The sequence below is a fragment of the Homo sapiens genome, chromosome 3 (genome assembly GCF_000001405.40).
Source record: "Homo sapiens chromosome 3, GRCh38.p14 Primary Assembly".
Classification (NCBI taxonomy): domain Eukaryota; kingdom Metazoa; phylum Chordata; class Mammalia; order Primates; family Hominidae; genus Homo; species Homo sapiens.
In genome coordinates this window covers 69,748,299-69,772,555 of record NC_000003.12, presented here as the reverse complement: position 1 = coordinate 69,772,555, position 24,257 = coordinate 69,748,299, and the positions used below count along the sequence as shown (strand labels likewise).

General features: G+C 40.0%; 1 protein-coding gene and 1 pseudogene across 8 annotated transcripts in view, besides 1 other annotated feature; one reads left to right on the top strand and one right to left on the bottom strand.

The window, feature by feature from the left end:
* MITF (melanocyte inducing transcription factor) overlaps nt 1–24,257 on the bottom strand; it is a 228,869-nt gene that overhangs the window by 195,777 nt on the left and 8,835 nt on the right. Inside the window, exon 1 of one of the 8 annotated variants that reach the window (NM_001184967.2) lies at nt 8,864–9,052. The exons of 6 other annotated variants lie outside the window; for them this stretch is intronic. Coding sequence is in view for 1 of the 2 variants with exons in the window: in NM_006722.3 (NP_006713.1) it covers nt 8,614–8,714 (101 nt within the window). In the remaining variant the exon portion in view is untranslated. Of the gene's footprint in view, nt 1–8,613; nt 8,746–8,863; nt 9,053–24,257 lie in introns of those variants that run through there. One more of the 8 variants, NM_006722.3, reaches the window with a different exon arrangement.
* Nucleotides 1,940–3,139: an enhancer, noted in NCBI's record as "P300/CBP strongly-dependent group 1 enhancer chr3:69818568-69819767 (GRCh37/hg19 assembly coordinates)". NCBI's record gives its function as "activates an origin of replication core promoter dependent on BRD2, BRD4, P300/CBP, MED14 and CDK7 cofactors, with strong dependence on P300/CBP, by STARR-seq in HCT116 cells {active_cell/tissue: HCT116}" and the evidence as "EXISTENCE:reporter gene assay evidence [ECO:0000049][PMID:35650434]".
* RN7SL418P (RNA, 7SL, cytoplasmic 418, pseudogene) lies at nt 2,783–3,069 on the top strand (annotated as a pseudogene).

Here is a 24,257-nt window from a genome sequence, read left to right as displayed (position 1 = left end):
AACTAGCAAGTAAATAATTTTTATCAGAAACAAGATGCTGTCACATGCACAGAAGTGGAAATCACTTCTAAATTGCTTCCCTGTGCCCCTCAGCTTAAGACAGAAAAGGATGGTTTGCTTAGATTGGACATCCCAAAAAAGAGACTAGACTCCAAAAACTTTCTGGCATGAACCAACATTTGCCATTAGGCCTGAATGGCTGGCACAGCTGAGCCTCCATGCACCATTCTAAATATAAAACATGAAGCTTCAATTATAACTTAATGACAGATATATAAAGGAAGATATTAAGAGTGCCCAAAAATAAGGCAGTAGGAACCAAGGGTAGATATTAAAACTACATAATATTTGGCCTGGCCATCAAGGAAAAAAAATTAATAACATTCAACCAGACCCAAACTAACATAAGCAGTTTATGCTCTTTCATGTTTAAGAACCCAATAAAGGTTTGCATCCAGGCTACTCTTACCCCACCAGTACCTGAAATAGCAAAATCATCCACAAAGAACAACTTGTCCAAACTTAAAAGACATACATCAATCCTAATTGATGAAAATTAAAAACCAACGATCTCCAAATGCATCACCAATTTCCAGTCTAATTTAGAGCTTTATAGCCCAACACACACATAAATGGAAAAGTAGAAAAGTTTTCCATTCCCAATCTTAGCAATCCCTCTCATGCATCAAGCATGCATCGCGATGGCAGGCTACCCAGTCCAATTCTCTACACACATCTGTTAATCAACATGAACCCCATGTCACATTTTAATTCATTTGCTAGAGAATTTGGGATGATTCAAGTTCTGAATGCTGGTGCCATTTTTAAATGGCATTAATTTCACATGGAAGTATTTCAAAAAAACAAAAAAGGAAAACTACTAGAACTGTTGAAAAATATTTTAGCATTTACTGCAATGGTAACACTTACTTTCCAGTATTCTCAATTTCCTTAGCTAAATTTAAGAGGGCTATAGGTATTCTCTTAAATCTATGATGGCTGAAGCAGCTATGTGTGTGTTGCATCCTATCTGTAGAATCCTCCCCGTTCACTAATGACACACTGCTGGAGAATCACTTGGGACCATTCAAAACCATTAAGGCTATTAACTCTGACTTGGGCCAAGTTTAATAAACAAGTGTCATCCAACAGGAAATGAGTTAAGCTGGCTTGTAAAGTCATTTAAGCAAATACTCAAAGTCAGAGCGCCTGACAAGATGCTTCTCATGGAATTCTTTTGCTGTTGATTTTGCCCAATTTAAATCAGAGCTCACTGGAAGTGTTCATTTCAGGAAAAAAAAAAAAACCCATGTTTAAACGGAGTAACTTTCAGTTGGTTTAAGTGACCACCTAAAAGAATTCCTAAATGTTGCCCAAGTCTCTCTGGCTGTCTCATACATAGCAACAGCAGGTGCACAATAAATACTTAGGAAACCAACATGGAATGAATCCAGGTCCACCTACATAAAATCAAGTTTCTGATCTGGAAATTCTAGATCATAAACAGTCACACATGAGAGAAGCGGTTGCTGTCAGTTACGGTGGTGCTGTATATATTTTTGTCATGTCTAAGTAACACGTGCATTTCAAAATGTGGCCACCTTCGGATACTTGTTAATGCTAAGCCCACACCTAGAACATTTCATTTCCCAAATGAAATCATTCTTATCTTTGAATAGTTCTCTCACATATTACCTTCAAAGAAACCTGTCCTAATAAAAGCCATTCCTACTCTACTTGGCCTCCAGATTTAACCACTTCCTACATTCAACCATCCTGGGACCTAGCTTTACTAGACTTCAATTTTGACCTTATTTATCTTGCCTTTTGTCATAATTGCTTCTTGCTTTCGTGCTCCATTAAACACTAAGGTTTTTGAGAGCAGGAACTCAAAACACTTTAAATTCCTCTCTCTTCATATGCAGTTGCTTTTGCACAGTCAATACACAGTAAATGCTGATTGAATTGAAAGGATCTCACTCTTAGAATGCAATTCTCTCAGAGTCTCCAACTAGTCTAGTAGCTTAAAGACCAATCCTACTTAAAAATTAACTTGAATTGTAAGTACAACAAAATCACTCCAAGTTATTAACCTAACCATTGAAGTGTTTATTTTCCTACTTGGAAAACCAGGTCAACCACAGGGACCAACCTACCCTGGATAGGTGACTCTAAAAGTAATGAGGTAATTTCCTTCAAAAATGACAAAGCTTTCAGGATTCTCTGGAATGCATACCCATTAATGTGTCACCATTAATCATTCCCTTTAGGTAAAAGCAACACTAGAACATTTCAGAATTTTCAAGCAACATCATACTATATACTCAAGTATCAACATAATCTCAATTTGATGGTCCCATGGCTTACACAGGGAGAAGGAATTAGGAGGTAGATTTACCAGAGATACTAAGAAATCTTTTTTCAAATTTATGAAACTATTTCTATACTTATGCCCCAAGGATGTTGTTCACTGCATTTTTATAAGCATACACAAATATCTATCTGAGTGAAAAAATGAATGAGAGGGCAAAGGAGTATGTTTTACTACCAAACTAGCATTGCTAGATTTAGCAAATACAGAATGCCCAGTTGAATTGAATTTCAGATGAATAAAGAATATTTTTTAGTCTCGCTATCCCATGAAATATCTAGAACAAAGTTATAGTAAACAATTATTCTGTATCAGAAATCCAAATTTAACTGGACATTCTGGATTTTATCTGGCAACTCTGCCCCAAATTCAGAAATTGCATTATTGAGTCTCCAGTTTAAAGAAAGAAAAGGCACTGGCACATGCCTGTGGTCCCAGCTATTCAGGAGTCTGAGGCAGGAGGATCAGTTGAGCCCAGGAGTTCCGGGCTGTAGTGCACTTTGCTGATCTGGTGAGTGCAATGAGTTCGGCATCAATATGGTGACCTCCTAGGGGACCACCAAGGTGCATAAAGAAGGGTAAACCAGCCCAGGTTAGAAATGGAACAGGTCAAAACTCCCGTGCTGGTTAGTACTAGGATTGCACCTGTGAATAGCCACTGTACTCCAGCCTGGGCATCACAGCAAGGCCCCGTATCAAAAAGGAAAAAAAAAGAAATCACATAGCAACGACTACACTTTGTGAAGCCCTAACTTTCAGAAAGAACAAAATAAGTAGTCAAAAAATAATAATTTTTAGAAAGCTCAATATAATGATGGCAGGAAAAATAGTTGAGTAAGATATGAGTGCTAACTAGGTGCCAGACTACCAAGATGAAAACCCTATGTGTGCATAATCTCATTTAATTCTTGCCACATCCTTATGAGGTAGGGACCATAATTATTATTATCATCATCATTATTGTTATTATTACTGTTATTATTATTTTACAGATAAGAAATCCAAGATATAAAGAGAACAAGTTGCTCAATGTCATACAGTAGTACAACAAAGACTCAAACCTTGGCAAATTTAACAAAGGACTTACATGCTTACCCACTACTTCATTTTACAGGTGAAGAGAGAATCTTAGTGATTTGCCCAAACTCACACAGCCACCAATCAGTGCAGCTGAGATTCAAACCTAGAACAGTCCTACTCCAGAGTTTTAGTCTCAACAAGCTATTGCCTCTCCAAATCATGCAAAATGGGACACATGCCCTCCCCACCTACATCAGCTGCAATTACCATCCTAATAAATTTGAATGCTTCATCTTTAAAACACAGTGCTTGAACTTACAATGGCTTCCTAGGAATTTGTATCAAACCCATTCAGCTGAATTTTGACTCCACATTATTATAAATGATTCTGGGTTGGATAGGGAATGTGAGGAAGATTTCTATTAGGGGGAGGAATTTGTTGTTACTGCCATTTCTGTACCAAAACATCACTTTAAAATAAGCCACTTATCTAGTGTCTACCAGTCTTGCTGCCTCAAGGCAAATTCTTGCTTCTGCACATGAATTCCAAACACCGGTAATAACCTGGAACACAGATAGAATGGCTAATCTGAAGCAGCCACCAAAGCCAAATTATGTATGGAAGACTTTTCTTCTTGGATCAGGAACTCAACAGCCCGGATTCTTCCATGTAAAATATCATGTTCAGAAAATATGAGAAGATATCTAGAACTTTTCTTGGAGCAGATTTACTTATGGGAATCCTCATATGCCTTATTCTAGATGCTTGTCAATCTATGGAGTGAAGACAGGTGTCTTTTATTAGGGGAGGAAGGTGTGTATGTGAGCATGTGTCTGTGTGTGTACATGCAAGCATGCTCCATATAAGGCACAGACCTTGAGGTTTATCTTCTTATCTAACTTTATCCTCCAAAATTTCCTATAGAAAGCAGAGAACATGTTGTCAGACTATAAATTAACTTCAGGAAAGGAGGGGAATCTGTGGAGAGCATGGACCCTAAGAATTTTGCTCATGCACCTTATAAAGACTACTTAGTAATCAATCATTTTCTTTTTGCTTGATTGTGGGCAGAGACCATGTCTACTTTACACATGATTGTATTTTCCAGGTGCTTGGTACAGAACAGGCATCCACCTACATGATAAAGAAATGAACAAGCAGTCACTTTATTGTCAGCAGTAAGCAGTTTACATATAGCCTTACTTTTGTCCTCACTGTCCTTGAAATCTTTAACAAGGTTTTTACCCTCTTGCAATCACAACCTATCTTCAGGGCTGAACGATGCATGTGTATCATCGTTCCTCACAAAGACAGTTCAGCTGGAACCATCCTAACTGGCCTCTGTGACACCAGCCCTGGCCACCCTCCAACCCATTCTTCATTTGGCAGCCAGAGCACTATTCCTCTGTATGAAGCTGGCCGCACTCCCTGGTGCTCCAGCCACACTCCGTGCTTAGACTGTCTCAGTGCCACACTATGCTGCACCTCCATGCCTCGGTCTACCTGGAATGCTTTCCTCTCATCTGTTTGACAATCATTTTTTATTTTTGTTTTTTTGTTGTTTTGTTTTGTTTTGTTTGAGATGGAGTCTTGCTCTGTTGCCCAGGCTGGAGTGCAGTGGCGCAATCTCGGCTGACTGCAACCTCCACCTCCCGGGTTCCAGCAACTCTCCTGCCTCAGCCTCCCAAGTAGCTGGGATTACAGGTGCACACCACCACACCTAGCTAATTTTTTGTATTTTTAGTAGAGATGCAGTTTTATCATGTTGGTCAGGCTGGTCTCGAACTCCTGACCTCAAGTGACCCACCCACCTCAGTCTCCCAAAGTGCCAGGATTACATGCCCCTCCATCTTTTGTCTTTAAAGGAATAATTACAGACCTAGCATCATACTTATGTCACTTTGAGTTACAAGAAGGCAGAGCCCATGAATTACAGGCTGGCCATTTATCAGTAGCATAGTGCTGGCATACAGGAGGTGCTCCATAACTGTGCCCCAGATGGAGACATGTGCTTTGGAGAGTAAAAGTGAAAAACTCTGCTAATCTAATTATATCTTCATATCTTACTCCACTGGAAGAATACTGTCTAGACCCATTCATTAAGTTCTATCTATTAATATATCTGCTAAATCTACCAGAAAAATTATTGAATGGAGGGATAATGGTGCATGCTGTTGTCTCTATTGTTTAAATGAACATCTGCTGACCAAGAAACATCATAGAATATTGCCTATTTGTAATTGGGCTTCAGGGACCAAATCCAAAAGGAGAAGGTACAGTAAGTTTTAACTCTTGTATCTACGGTGAGTCATGGGAGCCTGATGCACTAAATTCAGAAAGGCCCAAGGCTCCTCCTGGGTTCACAGGAAAGAGTGAAGTGACAGTTGGCAATATCTACCGTACTGCAGCAGAAGGAGGGAGCAACACAATCCCACATACTTATCCCTGATCCCATCTTTAGCCTTCATTGTATATAGCGGGAGACAGACCCACAGGGTCATATGAGTAGGTAGCAGCACAGATAGGTCTGCAACCAGGCCTCCCAAAACGTGCATTCACTCATTCATTGATTCAACATTTTTTTAATACAAGGTCCAGCATGATGGTATTTACTGGGATAAGACAAAATGATAAAGAGGCTAGGTGCGGTGGCTCACGCCTGTAATCCCAACACTTTGGGAGGCCGAAGTAGGCAGATCACTAGAGGTCAGGAGTTCAAGACCAGCCTGGCCAACATGGTGAAACCCCATCTCTACTAAAAAAAAAAAAAAAAAAAAAAAAAAAAAATTAGCTGGGCATGGTGGTGCACACCTGTAATCCCAGCTACTCAGGAGACTGAGGCAGGAGAATCACTTGAACCCAGGAGGCAGAGGTTGCAGTGAGCTGAGATCGTGCTGCTGGGTGAAAGAGACTCCATCTCAAAAAAAAAAGAAAGAAAAGAAAAGAAAGATAAAATGACAAACAAAACCATTCATGGTCACCAAGCTAGTGAAATATACAATTCATTTAATGCATACTCCAGTTAAATTACAATCTCATGATATCTGCAATTCTTACCTTGTTCAACTATTAAACTTCCATTTTCTTATATTTAGTGGCATTTTCTACACAAACATAAAACCTCTTTTTAAAAAGATAACTCATAGCCCAAACAATTCAACAAATTCATAACTATTTTTCCTTTCCGCTCTTTATTCTATTTATCAAACTTTTAAAACTCACATTTAACCAAAAGCTCCACAATGACATTTGAAATATTTTCCAGATAGCTATACCATTCCAAAATCTCAATTAAAAGAACTTATCATTGCAATGTTAGAAGGCAATGTTGGCTAAGTGTATATGGATCTTATAATACAAATTTTCCCGAGACTGAATAATCATAACTTATCCTCAGCAATGCAAATCAGTGCTTAAAAGGTCTTATGGTAAGGGAATCATATTTGTATTCCTAATCCAAACCTTAACTACTAACAGTTAAACTAAATCCACTCTCTTATGAAAGATAACAGCAAAGAATCAGTCACCAGCTTACAGCAAATATTCCAGCACATATGAGCTTGGTCTGCAATTCTTCAGTTTAATCTTATTTTTCTTTTTAAAAATGAGGGAAATTAATTTGTGGGAAAATTAACCAGGAAAAGAGGTTCCTCTGAAATCTTAAACAATTTTGTCAAAAAAAAATTTTTCACAGAAAGTAAATGATCCAAGATGGAAATATCTATAATTTTCACTAAAGAGTTTCTATTTTGACTCTGGAATAAACATATGACTTTTCAAATTCATGTTGGTTTGCAAAATTCCAAACACCAAGTAAGCACTCATTTCCATAAAGTAAAAAGACACATTCTGGTCTTATTCTAAACAGGCTACCAGAAAACAAAACTAATACTGTGAACAAACAAATCTTCGCTAAAACTCATTGAAATAATCCAAATGGTTTCCATTCCAGGGAAAATAGTAAGTCAGCAGTTTGCATATGGCTACCTTTTCTAAATACACAAAATAAGCAAAAATGCCACCAGAGGAAAGTGGGAATGCTGAACCCTTTCTATTTCTGTTTCCACGGGACTGCAGTTCAATCAATACCACCCAGCAGCACCCAGCCATCCTGTGTGCACACTTCCAGATGGCTTCCAGCGTCCAGCACAGGAGCCCAGAGAACTCCCAGGAAAAGGTTCATGGAACCATCACTCAAACCACAAACCAAGTGATAAGAAAGCCTGAGGCCCAGACTCCCACTGTTAAAACAAGGAGAGGCAAGCCAGAAAAATTAATGTGTAGAGGGCTGGAGCAATCAAAATTGTCACAAATAACACAGATCCTAAACAAGAAAATGATGAGGACAGAGCTAAGCATTCCTTAAAGGAGCAAAGGCTCTGAACAAACAAATAAATTAATCACAACCTTTCACATAATACCAGTAACGGCCTTGAGTCGGAGAAAAACTGTTGAGTAAAAATATTCTATATAAGGAAACTTACTTAAGGGAAGTATTCAAAACCCTTCACCCAGGGTAGAAGACAGTCCAAAGTGCAAAATCAGGAGTGAGACTCCTCTGTCTGGGGTTATTAAAGGGCACATCAGAAAAGCATCCTAAGCGCTACATTATTTTTGAAGTATAACAGAAAAAGGAAAAGGAAAATTGCTGTTTAAACTGCAAGACAAAGAATTCATTTTCAAATCCCTATGTTCCTACAGTACTTGAAAAGACAATAATTAGTCAAGAAAATAGCAAAATGAGGAAGTGGTATTCTTTTACAATTTCTGTTAATCCCCACCAGCTGTAATTTAAGAAATTCAGTGACATCAGCATTTATGTTTGAGCCAGCAGAATGACAGAAGGACAACTGCAGAATCATCTGAGAAGAGGAAAAGAAATTTGGGGACCACTGGAAAATGCATTTGGAAATGTGGAAAATTAATGCACTTTGCAGTGAATCACTTCTACAGCTTCAAATACCAACACTGCCAAAAATAACATAAAAAGTGGAAAAGGAAGCATAAGCACTCCAAACCTAATCAAATGATCCAGTGGAACTTCTGAAAAAATGTTCACTGAAACAAGTGAACTGAACATTTCCGAAAACAAACAGAAAGCAATCTAGCCATTTATGAACAAGAACCAAAGATTTCATACGATATAAAGATTGACATCCCTTAAAAAACATGCTATATAAGAACCTGTAAACTGAGGTACTTTGGTTATCATCTGTATTACCTTCTTGAAAACAGGCACAGAGTCAATTTCCTGGTTTCCTTTTCACAGAGAGAGAAAATAGCTCGTGGGAAAACCACTGAAGTATTTTCAAGGTGTCCCATTTGACTTCAGAGATGGAGCGGAATAGGTCTGAATTCCCAAGATTAATGCCAACCATTAGCTTTTACTTAGGTCAGAAGCAAAAGGAGAGGACAATCACACCAAACTCGACTGACCAAACAAGCTACAGAAGAGAGCTGAAAACACTCACCAGGGCTGCCTTGGCCCTTTGGCGGAACATTGAGTCCACTGAACCGTCTCAGAAAGGAGATTATTACAAAGATGCGATTGCAGACGTTCTGCCACACGCTTACGTGCACCTTCTCTCAACACTAGGAAGGCTAAATTAGAGATAGAGTGATAATTAACAGGATCCTTGGCAGCAGGAGCTGGCTTCTTTAGCAAACCAGTAATTGCTGCCTACTTAAAATGACAGGGAATTCAGCCAGGAAGGAGGGAGGTGCTAGATGGTAATCATAAAAGGTAAAATAGACTTTACATCAACAGGTTACTTGGCTCCAAAACTACCTCTTTATCTATAGATTCAGTTAATAACATTAAATAAATTCAACACCTTACATATGAAGACTAGAGATCAATAATCCTCGCAAGGAAAGGACGCAAGGACATCTGATGAAAATCTATGTCCTCCTTCCCACAAATCTTCCAACCCCCAAAATGTCATCAATTACTACTTAAACCATGAAAATAATTATCAACTTCATAAGATATCATATTGGAAAAGAAGATACTTCCCATAAGTGATATATTTTGACTTGGAATTCTTTTGAAAATACCCAGATGAGAAATTTTTAACAGCAGCCATAAACACTGTTTATGCCCCCTGTTCTGACATCAAAGCCTTTTCCTTTGTTGGTAACCTCTCCAGAAAAGAAAAGGTATTTAACTCAGAGGTTGTTTACCAGGACGACTGAGGATTGCTGGCAAGGTAAAGAGCAGAGTTAGCACAGGGTGTCCTGGTTTAAACCTCCAACCCCAGGAAATAAGACAGCCCATCAACCTATTAAACTGATTATTAAACATTCATCTAGACACTATTCCCAGAAGACCAGTACCCACTACACATTCCCCAGCAAGAATCAAACCAATGTACCTCTAACATCTTTAGATGCTCAGACTCATGGAGAGATGAGGATTCAATCTTCTGCTGTAGGGAGATGACTGTCGAGATAAACCAGGGCAGGAGGCCCATGGTTTCACAATGACTAATGCTGACCAAAACTCTTCATAAAATCAGCTCCATAGGTAAAGACCTAGTTTGTTTGCTCAGGAAAGCCCTGACTCTCTGATAAAGGTGCAAAGAATTCCCTGATTGTCCTCCAAAAAGAGATCATTACAAGGCTAAAGGCTTTCAATCAGGCTTATGATGCAGCCCAGGAGTCCCTGTCGATAATATCTCAATGGAAATCTTAAACATTTCTTGTGGTAGTTAAAGACACATGCAAGGTAATGAATCAGGGTTAGAATCACTGGGAACTTGGATGTTTACACTTTTCTTGGTATGGATGAGAATCAAGTCCTTTTTTTCTTATTATTGTTTTTCTTTCTCCTCTCTCATTAATTAAAAGTAAGAATGCTTTTACATTCATTCTGTGAATCTCTAACTCATCACTGATAGAACCCACTAAATATATGGCTCACCATTAAAGCCATTAACTAGGATTTTTTATAACTTCTTCTCTGCTAGATCATTATATCCTTTTATTGAAAATATTTAACTCAATACTTTGCACTGACTAATGCTCTTAACACCCACAAGTCAAGGCAGAAGTTATGCTCATTACACAACATTATGATGTTTAAAGACCTCTGGCATGCCAAAGATAAACAGTCCAGAATGGAACAGACTGGCTATAAATTTATGAAGACACACAAAAATAGCAATCAACAAGTCAGGTTAGCAGAAAAAAGAGAGAGGGAAAAAGAGATGAGTGAAAAACATCCAGATGTTATGAGCTACATGTTCATGTTCAGTAGTAGAACACAAGGATGGGTATGTAGACAAGACAACTTGATGTCATCAAGTAGCAACATTTGAAGATTATTAATAAGAAATTAGGAAAATCTACCACTTACTTATATACCACACCCTTGTGAATGATTAAGTATCCACCATCCCATCTTTTCCTACCTTTCTTGGAGGATTCACAGCCTACCTCCTTTCCTCCTTCAGAAGCAGCTTTAGAAACAAAGGACTATGCAGACAGGCATGCTGTGAGCACCTTTAATAGATATAACTATTTGTTTTGGATTTGAATGTGCAACCACACCCTGAGTCTTCTGCCTTTACTTCATAAGAAACCTAGTCTCCTTTCCATTCAAAAATCAACATAAGTTGTCACTCCTGATCACTCCTGCCTCTCCCTCCAAACCTCCGAACACCAAAATACATGGAAACCACTGCCAGCATGGTGAATAAGAGAGTGAGCTTTGAAGTCAGACAGTCCTCAGTTTGAATCGCGGTTCAACCTTATTTGAGTAACTTAAGATAGACAAGTGACAGAAAACAGACAAGCACAAGTTTCTTCATTTATAAAATGGGATCCTATCTACCTCATATTAGAATTATATTATATAAAACACTTAAATACTGTACCTGGTAGATAGTAAGTGCCTTACTATGTTTATAATTCACCTAGATGTAAATTATTAATTCCTGATGTTTCTGTTTCTTCACTTTTCTAACACAGAAAGAATTTTTTTTAATTACATAGGTACCTTCCTTAACTCCAGTATAATCTGTAAGAATACTATAGAAATATATAAAAGATAGGCTAAAGCACTAACACAAGGCATATCTGTAAAGAGGGCTTTAAAAATGCTAGATGCTACTGTTATTATTATTGTTCTTTGTGCTCTGTTGTCACTAAATTGTGTGATCTATCTGCTATGTAACTTGAAAGTACAGAACCTACTGAAACCAATTCTTTTTCTCCTTCTTTCTAAAAGAATTCCAAGCAATCCCAACAAGTACTCAGTTAATGTTTACAATAATGACCATTCTGATAACTATAATATGCTAATTTCCAATGCTTGCAAAAGTCAAAATCATCACCTTTATCCTCTAGGCCCTGAGTAAGCTGAGCCTGGTTACCTCAAAAACTGCCTACACCAGAATTTCTAAGCCATCCTGAAGTAGAGACTACCAGCGCTTATTTCCTGGTCTCCACAGGAAGAAATGAAGAAACCCACCAGAACTAGCAAATGGCACCAAAGGCAACCTCTAGGTGCCCTCACTGCTCATCAGTATAAGACACTCCCAGCAGTGCCATGACACTTTACAAATGCCATGGCAACTCCCAAAAGTTACCACCCTTTTTCTAGAGATTTCTGAGTAACCTGTACCTTGATTTGCATGTAATTCCAAGTGGGTATAAATACTGCCAGTCTACAGTCCATACGCTGCTACTCTGGGTGCATGTCTATGGGTTAGCCCTGCTCTGCAAGGAGCAGGTACTCTGTTGTACACTGTTGCTTCACTAGACCTGCATTCTTCCACCACCAGCTCGTTCTTGAACTCTTTCCTGAGCAATGCCAAGAACCCTCCCAGGCTAGGCCCCAATCTGGGGGCTCACCTGCCCTCTGTCAATCCTACTGCTTTTTGCTGGATTTTTCAGCAATGGTCCATAATCTCTCTGTGGTCTTTTCCTGGGTCCCCAACCTCACACTCCACCTTATTAAAGAATGATTAAAAATCTGTCAAAATTCTACCATATCTGAACAGTGAAGCCTCAGTCAACTTTAAAGATCTGGAAGTGATGGGCCATTTTTATTGGCAAACAAACTGATAAAAATGAGAGATCAGGGCTGGGCGCAGTGGCTCACGCCTGTAATCCCAGCACTTTGTGATGCCAAGGCGGGTGGATCACGAGGTCAGGAGATCGAGACCACCCTGGCTAACACGGTGAAACCCCGTCTCTACTAAAAATACAAAAAAATTAGCCAGGTGTGGTGGCGGGTGCCTGTAGTCCCAGCTACTTGGGAGGCTGAGGCAGGAGAATGGCACGAACCCAGGAGGTGGAGCTTGCAGTGAGCCGAGATCGTGCCACTGCACTCCAGCCTGGACGACAGAGCGAGACTTTGTCTCAAAAAAAAAAGAGAGCGATCAGGTACCTGGAAAAGCTTTATTAATGTGGCTCCCTCTGTAATCCACAACATCTGAGCAGATAGTGTTTTAAAATGTTTTCCCCAGTGGGTAAGCTTTTTAGTCCAGAGGAAGAACTGCTAGAGAAATACAGATGCAAGAAAACAGTTTTTAATATAGTCAACCCTCATTATTCATGGATTCTCCACTTTCAAATTCACCTACTCACTAAAACTGATTTGTAAACCCAAAATCAACATTCTCAGAGTTTTTACAGTCAATCACGTGCACAGAACAGCAAGAAGTTTGAGTCCCCCAACATGCACGTTACCAATTGAGGTTAAATAAGGTATTGGTCTGCCTTCTCATTTCAGCTCTCACATCATATTGTAAAAAAGTGTCCTTTTCACAGTCTATGTAGTGCCACATTTTTTGCACTTTTGTGTGTTTTTGTTGGTGACTCCTCTATTCAGTATGGCACCAAAGTTTAGTGCGAAAGTGCTGTCTAGTGTTCCTAAGTCAGTCAGGTTATAGTGCTGCTGGCCACAAGTTCAACGTTAATGAATCAACAATATATATTAAATAATGTGTCTTTACACAGAAACACACATAAAACAAAGTTATGTATTGATAGATTGATTAAATGTTGCGACCAGAGGCTCTAAGGAACTTATCCTGTATTTCCCTAGTAGTAATCATTCAGTATTTGCTAATTCGGTATTTGTAGCAGCTTTATAAAACAAAAATAATGAGAATTGACTGTATTTTTAGCAGTCTGTATCTTTAGCACCAATAGCAGTAACAATCATCACCCCTACTAACTTTGTATTGAGAATGTACATATGCCAGTCATTTTACATATTATCTTCTATAATCCTCACAGTTATCCCAAGAAGGACATGCCATTAGCTCCATTTTATAGGTAAAGATATTAAGGCTCAGAAACACATGGCAAGGGCTCATAGCTAACAAAAGAAAAGGTAAGATAATTTCTTACACATTTTCCTGAAAGGGTTTAGCAAAGTTTCCAAAATTTACTGACCCCTTCTAGCACACCAGAAACACTTCAGCCATCTAGGTCATTCTTTATTCAACAAACATTATTGGACACACTCTGTATCCTGGAACCTTGAGATGTCCAGTGAACTAACAAATTCCCTGTTCCCATGGGAACTAACCAATAATAAAATAAGTATTACCGGATTGGGCTATTGATACATAAGAAGCTTTTGATTTATTAAAAGATACATTATTTTAAAAATAAAGCCTTTTAAAAAAGTGATAGCTAAAGGCCATCTTCAGTGAACACCAGTTAAAATATATTTCCAGGCTGGGCACAGAGGCTCACATCTGTAATCACAGTGCTTTGGGACTCTGAGGCAGGAGGATTGCTTGAGGCCAAGAATTCAAGACCAGCATGGGCAACAAAGCAAGATCCCAACCTTAGAAAAAAAAAATTTAATTAGCCAGGCATGGTGGTGTACACCTGTAGTCCCAGCTACCTGAGAGGCTGAGGCAGGGGAATTGCTTGAGCCCAGGAGTTTGAGGCTATAGGAAGCTATGATTGCATCCCCGCACTCTAATCTGGGAGATGGAGTGAGACCCTGTCTTAAAAAAAAGTAAATAAAATGAAATATATTTCTGAGTGCTGGGAAAGTGTGTGTGTGTGTGTGTGTGTGTGCATATGATATATTTATATATATATATATTTATATATATACTTTATGAGTGGTGGAAGAGAGTATTATATATATAGACACACACACACACACACACACACACACACACACACACACACACATGCCCTAGGGTAACTCCAGGTTCTTTTCCTCTCCCAGAAAGACCTCCCCTGGCCTTTGAGGGTCTGATCTGGGATCCACACCATCACTCAACAGCTACCCATTTTCCACAGGCAACACTGGTTCAAGTTTGACCCTTCCTGCTCCCCATTATCCTCAGCTCAACAAATATTTATTAAGAATCCTTTTATACTACAAGGCAATGAAAATTTGCCCGAAGATCCTACACATAATTCTCAAACCATAACTCCTGGAAAACAAGAGTAAAAGTCGGATCTCTTACCGTCCACCCATTTAGATACTCAAGAAATATATCTATTCTGAAAATGTCCCAAACTGTTTTTTTTCATCTCTGATAGCTGGCTCTTCCCCAAGTTCAGGGTGTCCTAACTCTCAACACCAGCCTACACAGCAGATTTATCCTGTACTCTCACTAAAATGCAGAGTTCGGAAGCTCATCCCACCATTCCACTTCTGACCAAACCTCCCCAACTGTCTTCTCTCCTGTGCTTACAGCTTCTCTGAACACATAACCACTCACTCTAAAGCACCTACTTCTATGTCAGTTTCTTCAGTGTGTTTGTCTTTTTGTTTCAATCACAGAAAGAGGAGAATTTCATTTTTCCTCTTTTCTTATAAAACTCTGAATGGGAACTGTTTAACCAAGAGTCAAGTTTTGGTTAGTAAGAATACTGGAGAAAGTCTGAAAATATTTTGAAAAACACTGCCTTGAGAATCCTACATATGTTTGTATGAATATATATATATGGATTCTGATAGAATATGCATTCCTTTAATTGGTACTCAAACTTGGTAATCTCATTCCTATGCACACAACAGCTGATAGTTGGGGGAAGTGGTCTGGAAGACTCCTGGGCTGCAACCCAGTGCTATGATAGGTTTAAAAACTTGCCACACAATCTACAGAATGGGAGAAAATTTTTGCAATCTATCCATCTAACAAAGGTCTAATATCCAGATTCTACAAGGAACTTATACAAATTTACAGGAAAAAAAACAACCCCACCAAAAAGTGGGCAAAGGATATCAACAGACACTTCTCAAAAGAAGACATTTATGCGGCCAACAAACATATTTAAAAAAGATCATCATCACTGGTCATTAGAGAAATTCAAATCAAAACCACAATGAGATACCATCTCACACCAGTCAGAGTAGCAATCATTAAAAAGTCAGGAAACAAGAGATGCTGGTGAGGCTGTGGAGAAACAGGGACGCTTTACACTGTTGGTAGGCGTACAAGTTAGTTCAACCATTGTGGATGACAGTGTGGCAATTCCTCAAGGATCTAGAACCAGAAATACCATTTGACCCAGCAATCCCATTACTGGGTATATACCCAAAGGATTATAAATCATTCTACCATAAAGACACGTGTACATGTATGTTTATTGCAGCACTATTTACAATAGCGAAGACTTGGAACCAACCCAAATGCCCATCAATGATAGATTGGATAAAGAAAATGTAGCACATATACACCATGGAATACAATGCAGCCATAAAAAAAAAATGAGTTCATGTCCTTTGCAGGGACATGGATAAAGCTGGAAACCATCATTCCCAGCAAACTATCACAGGAACAGAAAACCAAACACTGCATGTTCTCACTCATAAGTGGGAGTTGAACAATGAGAACACATGGACACAGGGAGGGGAACATCACACACCAGGGCCTGTCGGGGGTTGTGGGGCAAGGGGAGGGAGAGCATTAGGACAAACACCTAATGCATGTAGGGCTTGAAACCTAGATGATGGGTTGATAGGTGCAGCAAACCACCATGGCACATGTATACTTATGTAACAAACCTGCACATTCTGCACATGTATCCTAGAACTTAAAAAAAAAAACTTGCCACATATACCCCAAGGATTTGAGAATTGACTATGTGGTTAGAGTTTTTTCAGCGATAGAGAACCAAACTGTTGCTTATTTACTCAACAGTGATAAGGCAATGAGAGAGTCAATACCACCTGCACAGAGAAATGTTTCTGTGATTAACCATTTCTTCCATTCTTATGCAAACTTCTAAGTTCTAGTAGCAATGACACCAGTAGTAGCACAAAACAGCAGTAGGCAGAGAGCAATAATCATAGTACAGGAGGAGGAGCAGCAGTAAGGTGAGCAGCAGCAGCTGGTATCTACTGCACCCTTACTACAGGTAGCATCTCATCACCTTATTGAATATTCACAACTATTCAATGAGGTAGGCACCCAGTTGTCCAAGTTAGTCAATGACTAAACTGTAACTGATGAAGGTATCCACATACATGTGTAATATAATCGAAATCTCTCCCCTGAGAAAGATGGATACTATTTGGACTAACCCCCCTTTCTGCTTTTTTTTTCCCCTTTATGCTTGCTAGTGACCAGTTAAGCCACAGTTTTCGGGAGAGAAATTGTGTGACAATCAAGAAAAGCAAACTATCATATTCGTGTCGGGGAAAGAAAAAACCCTTGAAAACTTATATCCTAGTCTCTAAAGTGGCTATATACTGCTATTCCCAAAAAAAAAAAAAAAAAAAAAAAAAAAAAAAAAAAAAACCCAGAAGGGTAAAAGATACAAAGATTTTGAGGCTCAAGAATACAGGGCCTTATGGCTTATATTGGATAAAGATAACTATATAAACAGGCTGCCAAGTCAAGTGGGAAAAGATAAGGTAGGAAGTCACTATGGCCAAGGCCGAAACATGACAGTTAGGAATTCGAGATTTCTGTGTTGAGACAGCAGTGCTACACAGCCTTGGTATTGTGTAACCCCAATTAGTGTATCTCATTATTTATTTCTCCACTTAGCTATAGTCTATAATTATGATGAAAGGAAACATGTTGATAAAGACAAAAATTGTTCTGGCAACAAAAGTAACACCATGCTTGTAAATAGCATGTGCCATCCTTAAATATCTTCCTGTTAGGCATCCCACCTTTCACCACTATTTGACCTGTATCAACTCCCAAAAATCCTAATGCTGATTACCTAACTTAAAGACTATTTACCCTCCTCCCTCCCTTAGCCTCCTCCTCCCCACTGTTCTATGGATCCTCTCCCCCCAACCCCCACACTGATTGCCTTTGAGTCGTTTTTTCTTTATTAAGGTGTCTAAAACTAGAAATTCAAGTCAAAAACCTTGTTGATGCTGTGAATACAGAGGTAATCAGAACGAGGGAACTAAAAGCCAGGCTTTGGGCTGAGCACTCTACCCATGTATTTCTTTTAATCTGTACAATTACCCTATCACTTAGATCATATTATTATGCACTGTCCTCTTTTAGCCTCTGTATTAGTCCATTCTCACACTGCTACAAAAAAAAATACCTGAGACTGGGTAATTTATTTCAAAAAAAAAAAAAAGAGAGATGTAATTGGTTCACTGTTCTGCAGGCTGTACAGGAAGCATGATGCTGACATCTTTTCAGCTTCTGGGTTGGCCTCAGGAAAGTTACAATCATGGCAGAAGGCAAAGTGGGAGTGAGCCATCTCACATGGTGGAAGCAGGAGCAAGAGAGAGTGACAGGGGGCCAGGCACAGTGGCTCACACCTGTAATCCCAATACTTTGGCCGGCCAAGGGGGACAGATTTCAAGACCAGCCTGGCCAACATGGCGTGTTGGTATGCACCTGTAATCCCAGCTACTCGGTAGTCTGAGGCAGGAGAATCACTTGAACCCAGGAGGTGGAGGTTGCAGTAAGCCTAGATCATGCCACTGCACTCCAGCCTGGGTGACAGAGTGAGACTCTGTCTCAAAAAAAAAAAAAGGAGAGAGAGAGACTAACAGGGGTGGTGCCACACTCATAAGAATCACTCACTATCACAAGAACAGCACTAAGTGGGTGTTGCTAAACCATTCATGAGAAACCACTTCCATGATCCAAATCACCTCCCATCAGGCCTCACCTGCAACATTGGGGATTACAATTTGACCTGAGATTTGGTGGGGACACAGATTCAAACCATATCATTCTACCCCTGGTCCCCCAAATCACATATCCTTCTTCCTTCTCACATTGCAAAATACAATCATGGCTTCCCAACAGTCCCCAAATTCTTAACTTATTCCAGCATTAACTCAAAAGTCCAAAGTCTCATCTGAGATAAGGCTAGTCCCTTCTGCCTATGAGCCTATAAATTAAAAAACAAGTTAGTTACTTCCAAGATACAATGGGGGTATAGGAATTGGGTAAATTTTCCTGTTCAAAAAGGAAGAAATTGGCCAAAAGAAAGGGGCCATAGGCTCCATGCAAGTCCAAAACCCAGCAGGGCAGTCATTAAGTCTTAAAGCTCCAAAATAATCTCCTTTGACTCTATGTCTCACATCCAGGGCTCACTAGTGCAAGAAGTGCAATCCCAAGGCCTTGGGCAGTTCCACCCCTGTGGCTTTGCAGGGTTCAGCCCCTGCAGCTGCTCTCAAGGGCTGGCATTGACTGCCTGTGGCTTTTCCAGGCTGAGAGTGCAAGTTGCCAGTAGATCTACCATTCTGGGGTCTGGAGGATGGCAGTGCTCTTCTCACAGCTCCACTAGGTAATGCCCCAGTGGGGACTCTGTGTAGGGGCTCCAACCCCACATTTCCCCTTTGCACTGCCCTAGTAGAGTTTCTTTATGAGGGCTCTGCCCCTGCAGCAGGCTTCTGCCTGGACATCCAAGTTTTTCCATACATCCTCTGAAATCTAGTTGGAGGCTCCCAAGCCCCAGCTCTTGCACTCTGTGCACTTACAGGCTTAACACCACATGGAAGCCACCAAGGCTTACAGCTTGCACCCTCTGAAGCAGTGGCCTGAGTGTAACCTGGGCCTCTATGAGCCATAGCTGGATCTGGAGCAACTAGGATGTGGAGAGCAGTGTCCCAAGGCTATGCAGGGCAGCAGAGCCCTGTGCCTGGCCCAGGAAACGACTCAGTCCCCCTAGGCTTCTGGGCCCATGATGGGAGGGTCTGCTGCAAAGTTCTCTGAAATGCTTTTGAGGCCTTCTCCCCGTTGTGTTGGATGTTAGCACTTGGCCCCTTTTTACTTAAGCAAATTTCTGTAGCCTGCTTGAATTACTTCCCAGAAAATGGGGAGGCTTCAGGGGAGGCCTCAGGAAACCTGCAGTCATGGCAGAAGGCAAAAGGGGAGTGAGGCATCTCACGTGGTGGGAGCAGCAGCAAGAGAGAATGACAAGGGAGGTCCTACACACTTTTAAATGACCAGATCTCATGAGGACTCACTCACTATTATGAGAACAGGACCAAGGGGATTGTGCTTTTCTTTTCTACTACATGGCCAGGCTGCAAATTTTCCAAACTTTTATACTCTGCTTCCCCTTTAAATATAAGTTCAACTTTAGGTAATTTCTTTGCTCACACATATAAACATAGGTTGTTAGGAGCAGCCAGGCTACATCTTGAATACTTTGCTGCTTAGAAATTTCTTCTGCCAGTTACCCTAAATCATCACTCTCAAGTTAAAAGTTCCACAGATCCCTATGGCAGGGACACAATGCAGCCAACCTCTTTGCTAACACATAACAAAAGTGACCTTTATTCCAGTTCCCAGTGAGTTCCTCATTTCCATCTCAGACCTCCTCAGCCTGGACTTCGCTGTCCATATCATTACCAGCATTTTGTTCACAACCATTTAATCAGTCTCTAGGAAATTCCAAACTTTCCATCATCTTCCTATCTTCTTCTGAGTCCCCCAAATTCTTCCAACCTCTGCCTGTTACCCAATTCCAAAGTTGCTTCCACATTTTCAGGTATCTTTATAGCAATGCCCCATTTCTTGGCACCAATTTTCTGTATTAGTCCACATTGCTATAAAGAAATACCGGAGGCTGGGTAACTTATAAAGAAAAGAGGTTTAATTCACTCATGGTTCCATGGGCTGATTAAATCACGGTGCTTCACGGTTCCACAGAAAGCATGATGCTGGCATCTGCTCAGCTTCAGGGGAGGCCTCAGGAAACCTGCAATCATGGCAGAAGGCAAAAGGGGAGTGAGGCATCTCACGTGGTGGGAGCAGCAGCGAGAGAATGACAGGGGAGGTGCTACACACTTTTAAATGACCAGATCTCATGAGGACTCACTCACTATTATGAGAACAGGACCAAGGGGATAGTGCTAAACCATTCATGAGAAACTGCCTCCATGACCCAATCACCTCCCACCAGGCCCCACCTGGAACACTGGGGATTACAATTTGACATGAGATATGGTAGAGACACAGATCCAAACCATATCAGCCTCTGTTGAAACAGAGGCCACAAGAATAACTTGCCCAAAGACACATATATAGCCAGTAAGTGGCCAAATTGGAATTTAAGTTCAAATCTGTCTTACTCTGAAATTTAGACTTATTAGACTGGTTAGAAGTCTTAACCAGTTTACAACAAGAACAGATCAGCGCTTTTTCTCTAAAGAATGTCAACATGCCAAAAAAAAAAAAAAAAAAATCAAAATGCTTGGGTCTAAGTGGATGAAACACAGGGGTAGGCTGAATTTCCTGGTAAATAAGGAATCCAGAAATTTTCTTTTGGCTTGTGTTACATGACATTGGCCTTGCCCTTCCTTCTCACAGTCTGTACTTCATGATCAGAGAAGTGAACAGCTTGGTGAGATTCAGAACAAGGGGAACGATTCCATTATGTCAGGACATCCTCATTTGTGACAAAACAGATGCTGGCTGGTCACATCCATTCCACCTCTCTGTTTTGGAAGCTCCCACACTCTACAAACTGTCTGGAATTCATTAAGACAGGAAAACAGGCTGACAGTAGTATTTCAAATTTTATTCAGCAGAAGTTTTGTGAAAAACAGTTTGGTCATGTGGACATGCCCAAAACCACCATCACCCTGTTTCTCAACCAAATCTTTCAGTCAAGTGACTGCAGTATGCTTCAAGTTTCACACTTTTAGAGTGTAGATTAAAATACAACCCCTTTTTGAGATTTGGGCCAGGGCTCCTTATGGTAGTAAAGCTAGGTTAACTCTAAGTCACTCAGAGATCACATTATACAACCAAGAATCCTATCCATGGAAGGCCTGGTTAGCCCCATCTTTAGACTTTTCTGTTATTTAACCAATAAATTCATTTTCTGATTAAACACGGCAAATATGGGTATTCTGTCACCCAAGCTTATATATTATTTATATCCCATCTCTATGCAATGCTTTCTATCACAAGTTCATTGAGCAAATCACCCCCACTCCCAACACCATCACCACCACCTTAGTGCCATGATTTTTTCAAAGTGTGATTCAACCAATAGTTTCAGCATCACTTAGAAACATGTCAGAAATGCAAATTTTCAGACCCTACTCCAGACCTACCAAACAGAAACTGTGGGAGTGTGTCCCTGAAATCTGTTTCAACAAGCCCTACAGGGAATGCTGATGCACACTCGAGTTTAAGAACCACTGCCCTAATGATTTTACCACAAATCTCATGTCTCCATATTAAATACTCTTGTATTGTTATTTTAGAATGAAAAATTCACCAGATCAGAATACATTTAGTTAAAAAAAAAAAAAAAAAGGAGTGTCACTTGTATTGTCAGGCCAGAGATAATCATTGATAATAATTACTCACTGGTTTTTAAAAAAGGAAAAAAAAAAAAAAAAAAGGAAAGCTCTATAGTTTCCTCTAGAAAGTTTGTTATCAGATCTATATTACTGTTGTGGTAGCACCCAAGAAAATCCTGGGATTCACTTTGAACAATGTGCACCCCCGTGAAACCAATCCCTGTGATAAGGACATGTAGCCAGGCCTGTATCAGATTCTCCACTCCTGGAGCCATGAAATTGACTTTTTTAGAAAGGTATCAGGTATATGAACCCAAAAGTGAGAAAGAGGGGTAACACTAGGGAGAGACTCCCTAAGGACAGCAGATTGACATGTGGTATCATTGATTCCCAAAAACAAACCCCAATTAATTGTCCTTGCCATTCAGCTCCCTGCCGTTACATCATGCACTTTAGTGATTTTGATATTATGACCAAGCAAGCACCATCAAACTCTCTCATTCACTGCTGAATCAACAATTTAAAGCTTCCAAATATAATCAGTATTGTTAGAATTACCTTCCAAAATCCTATCATTTAGCATTTACTCATCTCGCATTTGCCTAGATAAAAAATATTATTAGTGTGTACCTACCCAAAGACCAGTGGAAAAATTACCACGCTGAGATGATACAAGATGCAGTTCCAAAAAGTCTACACACTGGTTGTTTAATATACCATAAGCCAGTGGCCGACCTCTTACAAGTTATCCTCCAAGCATGCTTCTTTGCAGCAAATGGACAAACCTTTATTCGGAATGTGACCAGGAATCATGCCAGTTGCTTATATTTTTAGGTATTGCTTCACATAAGCTATTGTAAACTCTTCCTTTAAAACTAAATAAATAGAATTTTCAAGAATGCATATTTGGGGTCACCCTCTTCCCTTGAAAGTAAATGACCTTAACTGGCCAACACTATTTTAATGTTTATTCTAGGCACTCTCTGCCAAAAGCATTATAAATTAGTTACAAAGAGTTCTTATTGGCTGAGGTGCCAGCATCCTAAATTTAGATGGTGCAACTATGCAGGCTCACCAATACAGCAGAGCAAAACTAACACTGAAATAATACCTTTCCACCTTTCGCTGAAAAAATTCAAATGCTAAAAACAAAACAAAACAATGACAAATATATACCTAGTCCTTTTGATGGAAGGGAATGTTACAATTTGACCAATGACATATCTGTGTGTTGGTTCATGAACTCAGTTTTAGAGCACCATCTCTACGAATTTAGGACACACTGCAGGCAAGAGGTACAGTGTGGCTACATCTCAATGAGGTTCTCTAGTAGCCTTCACCAGGATTGAGCTAGGTCCTGAGTTAAACAAGGAAATCATCTTTAGGATTTCCATGAGCATTTCCTTTCACCAAATTTCAAATCTCCAACTGTAAAAAATAAAATGTATGTTTTTGAAAAACATGCTTCCTAGAATCAGTTAGTATTTAGGAATATTTTATGGTAAAGGTACCAAAGTAAATATAGCATTCCTGTCTGTCATTTCGTAATTTCATATATAACCACAGCCACCAGGCTAAGTGAAACCTCTCTGCCTCAAGTCTTCTTTCCACTGAGGCAAGTCAACCTTCCCAGAAGGAAACCTATTCTACAAATACAAGCTATGCTTTCTCCCAACAGTGGGGACAACCACTTTTCCAATGATGCCCTTAATCACATGGGAAAACTGATGAATGTGTGTGAATGATTCAGCAAGTTACCCCACTTTGGAGAAGAGGCAAGGGTGGGGAGGGTGAAGACCACAGATGCCTTCCTGAAATTGCTCAATGAGGCACAATTTCTTATATGACAGGATTCTACCAGTGCCCTCTATAGGGCATGCACTTAGACTTAAAATATTTGCTGTCACACAACCCAGTATTTTTCGTTGTGAAAGTTATCACTCTGGCCGGGCATGGTGGCTCATGCCTGTAATCCTTGCACTTTGGGAGGCCAAGGCAGGTGGATCACATGAGGTCAAGGGTTCGAGACCAGCCTAGCCAACATGGCGAAACCCCACCTCTACTAAAAATACAAAAAATTAGTCAAGCATGGTGGAACACATCTGTAATTCCAGCTACTTGGGAGGCTGAGGCAGGACTACTGCTTGAACCTGGGCACGGAGGTTGCAGTGAGCCAAGATCATGCC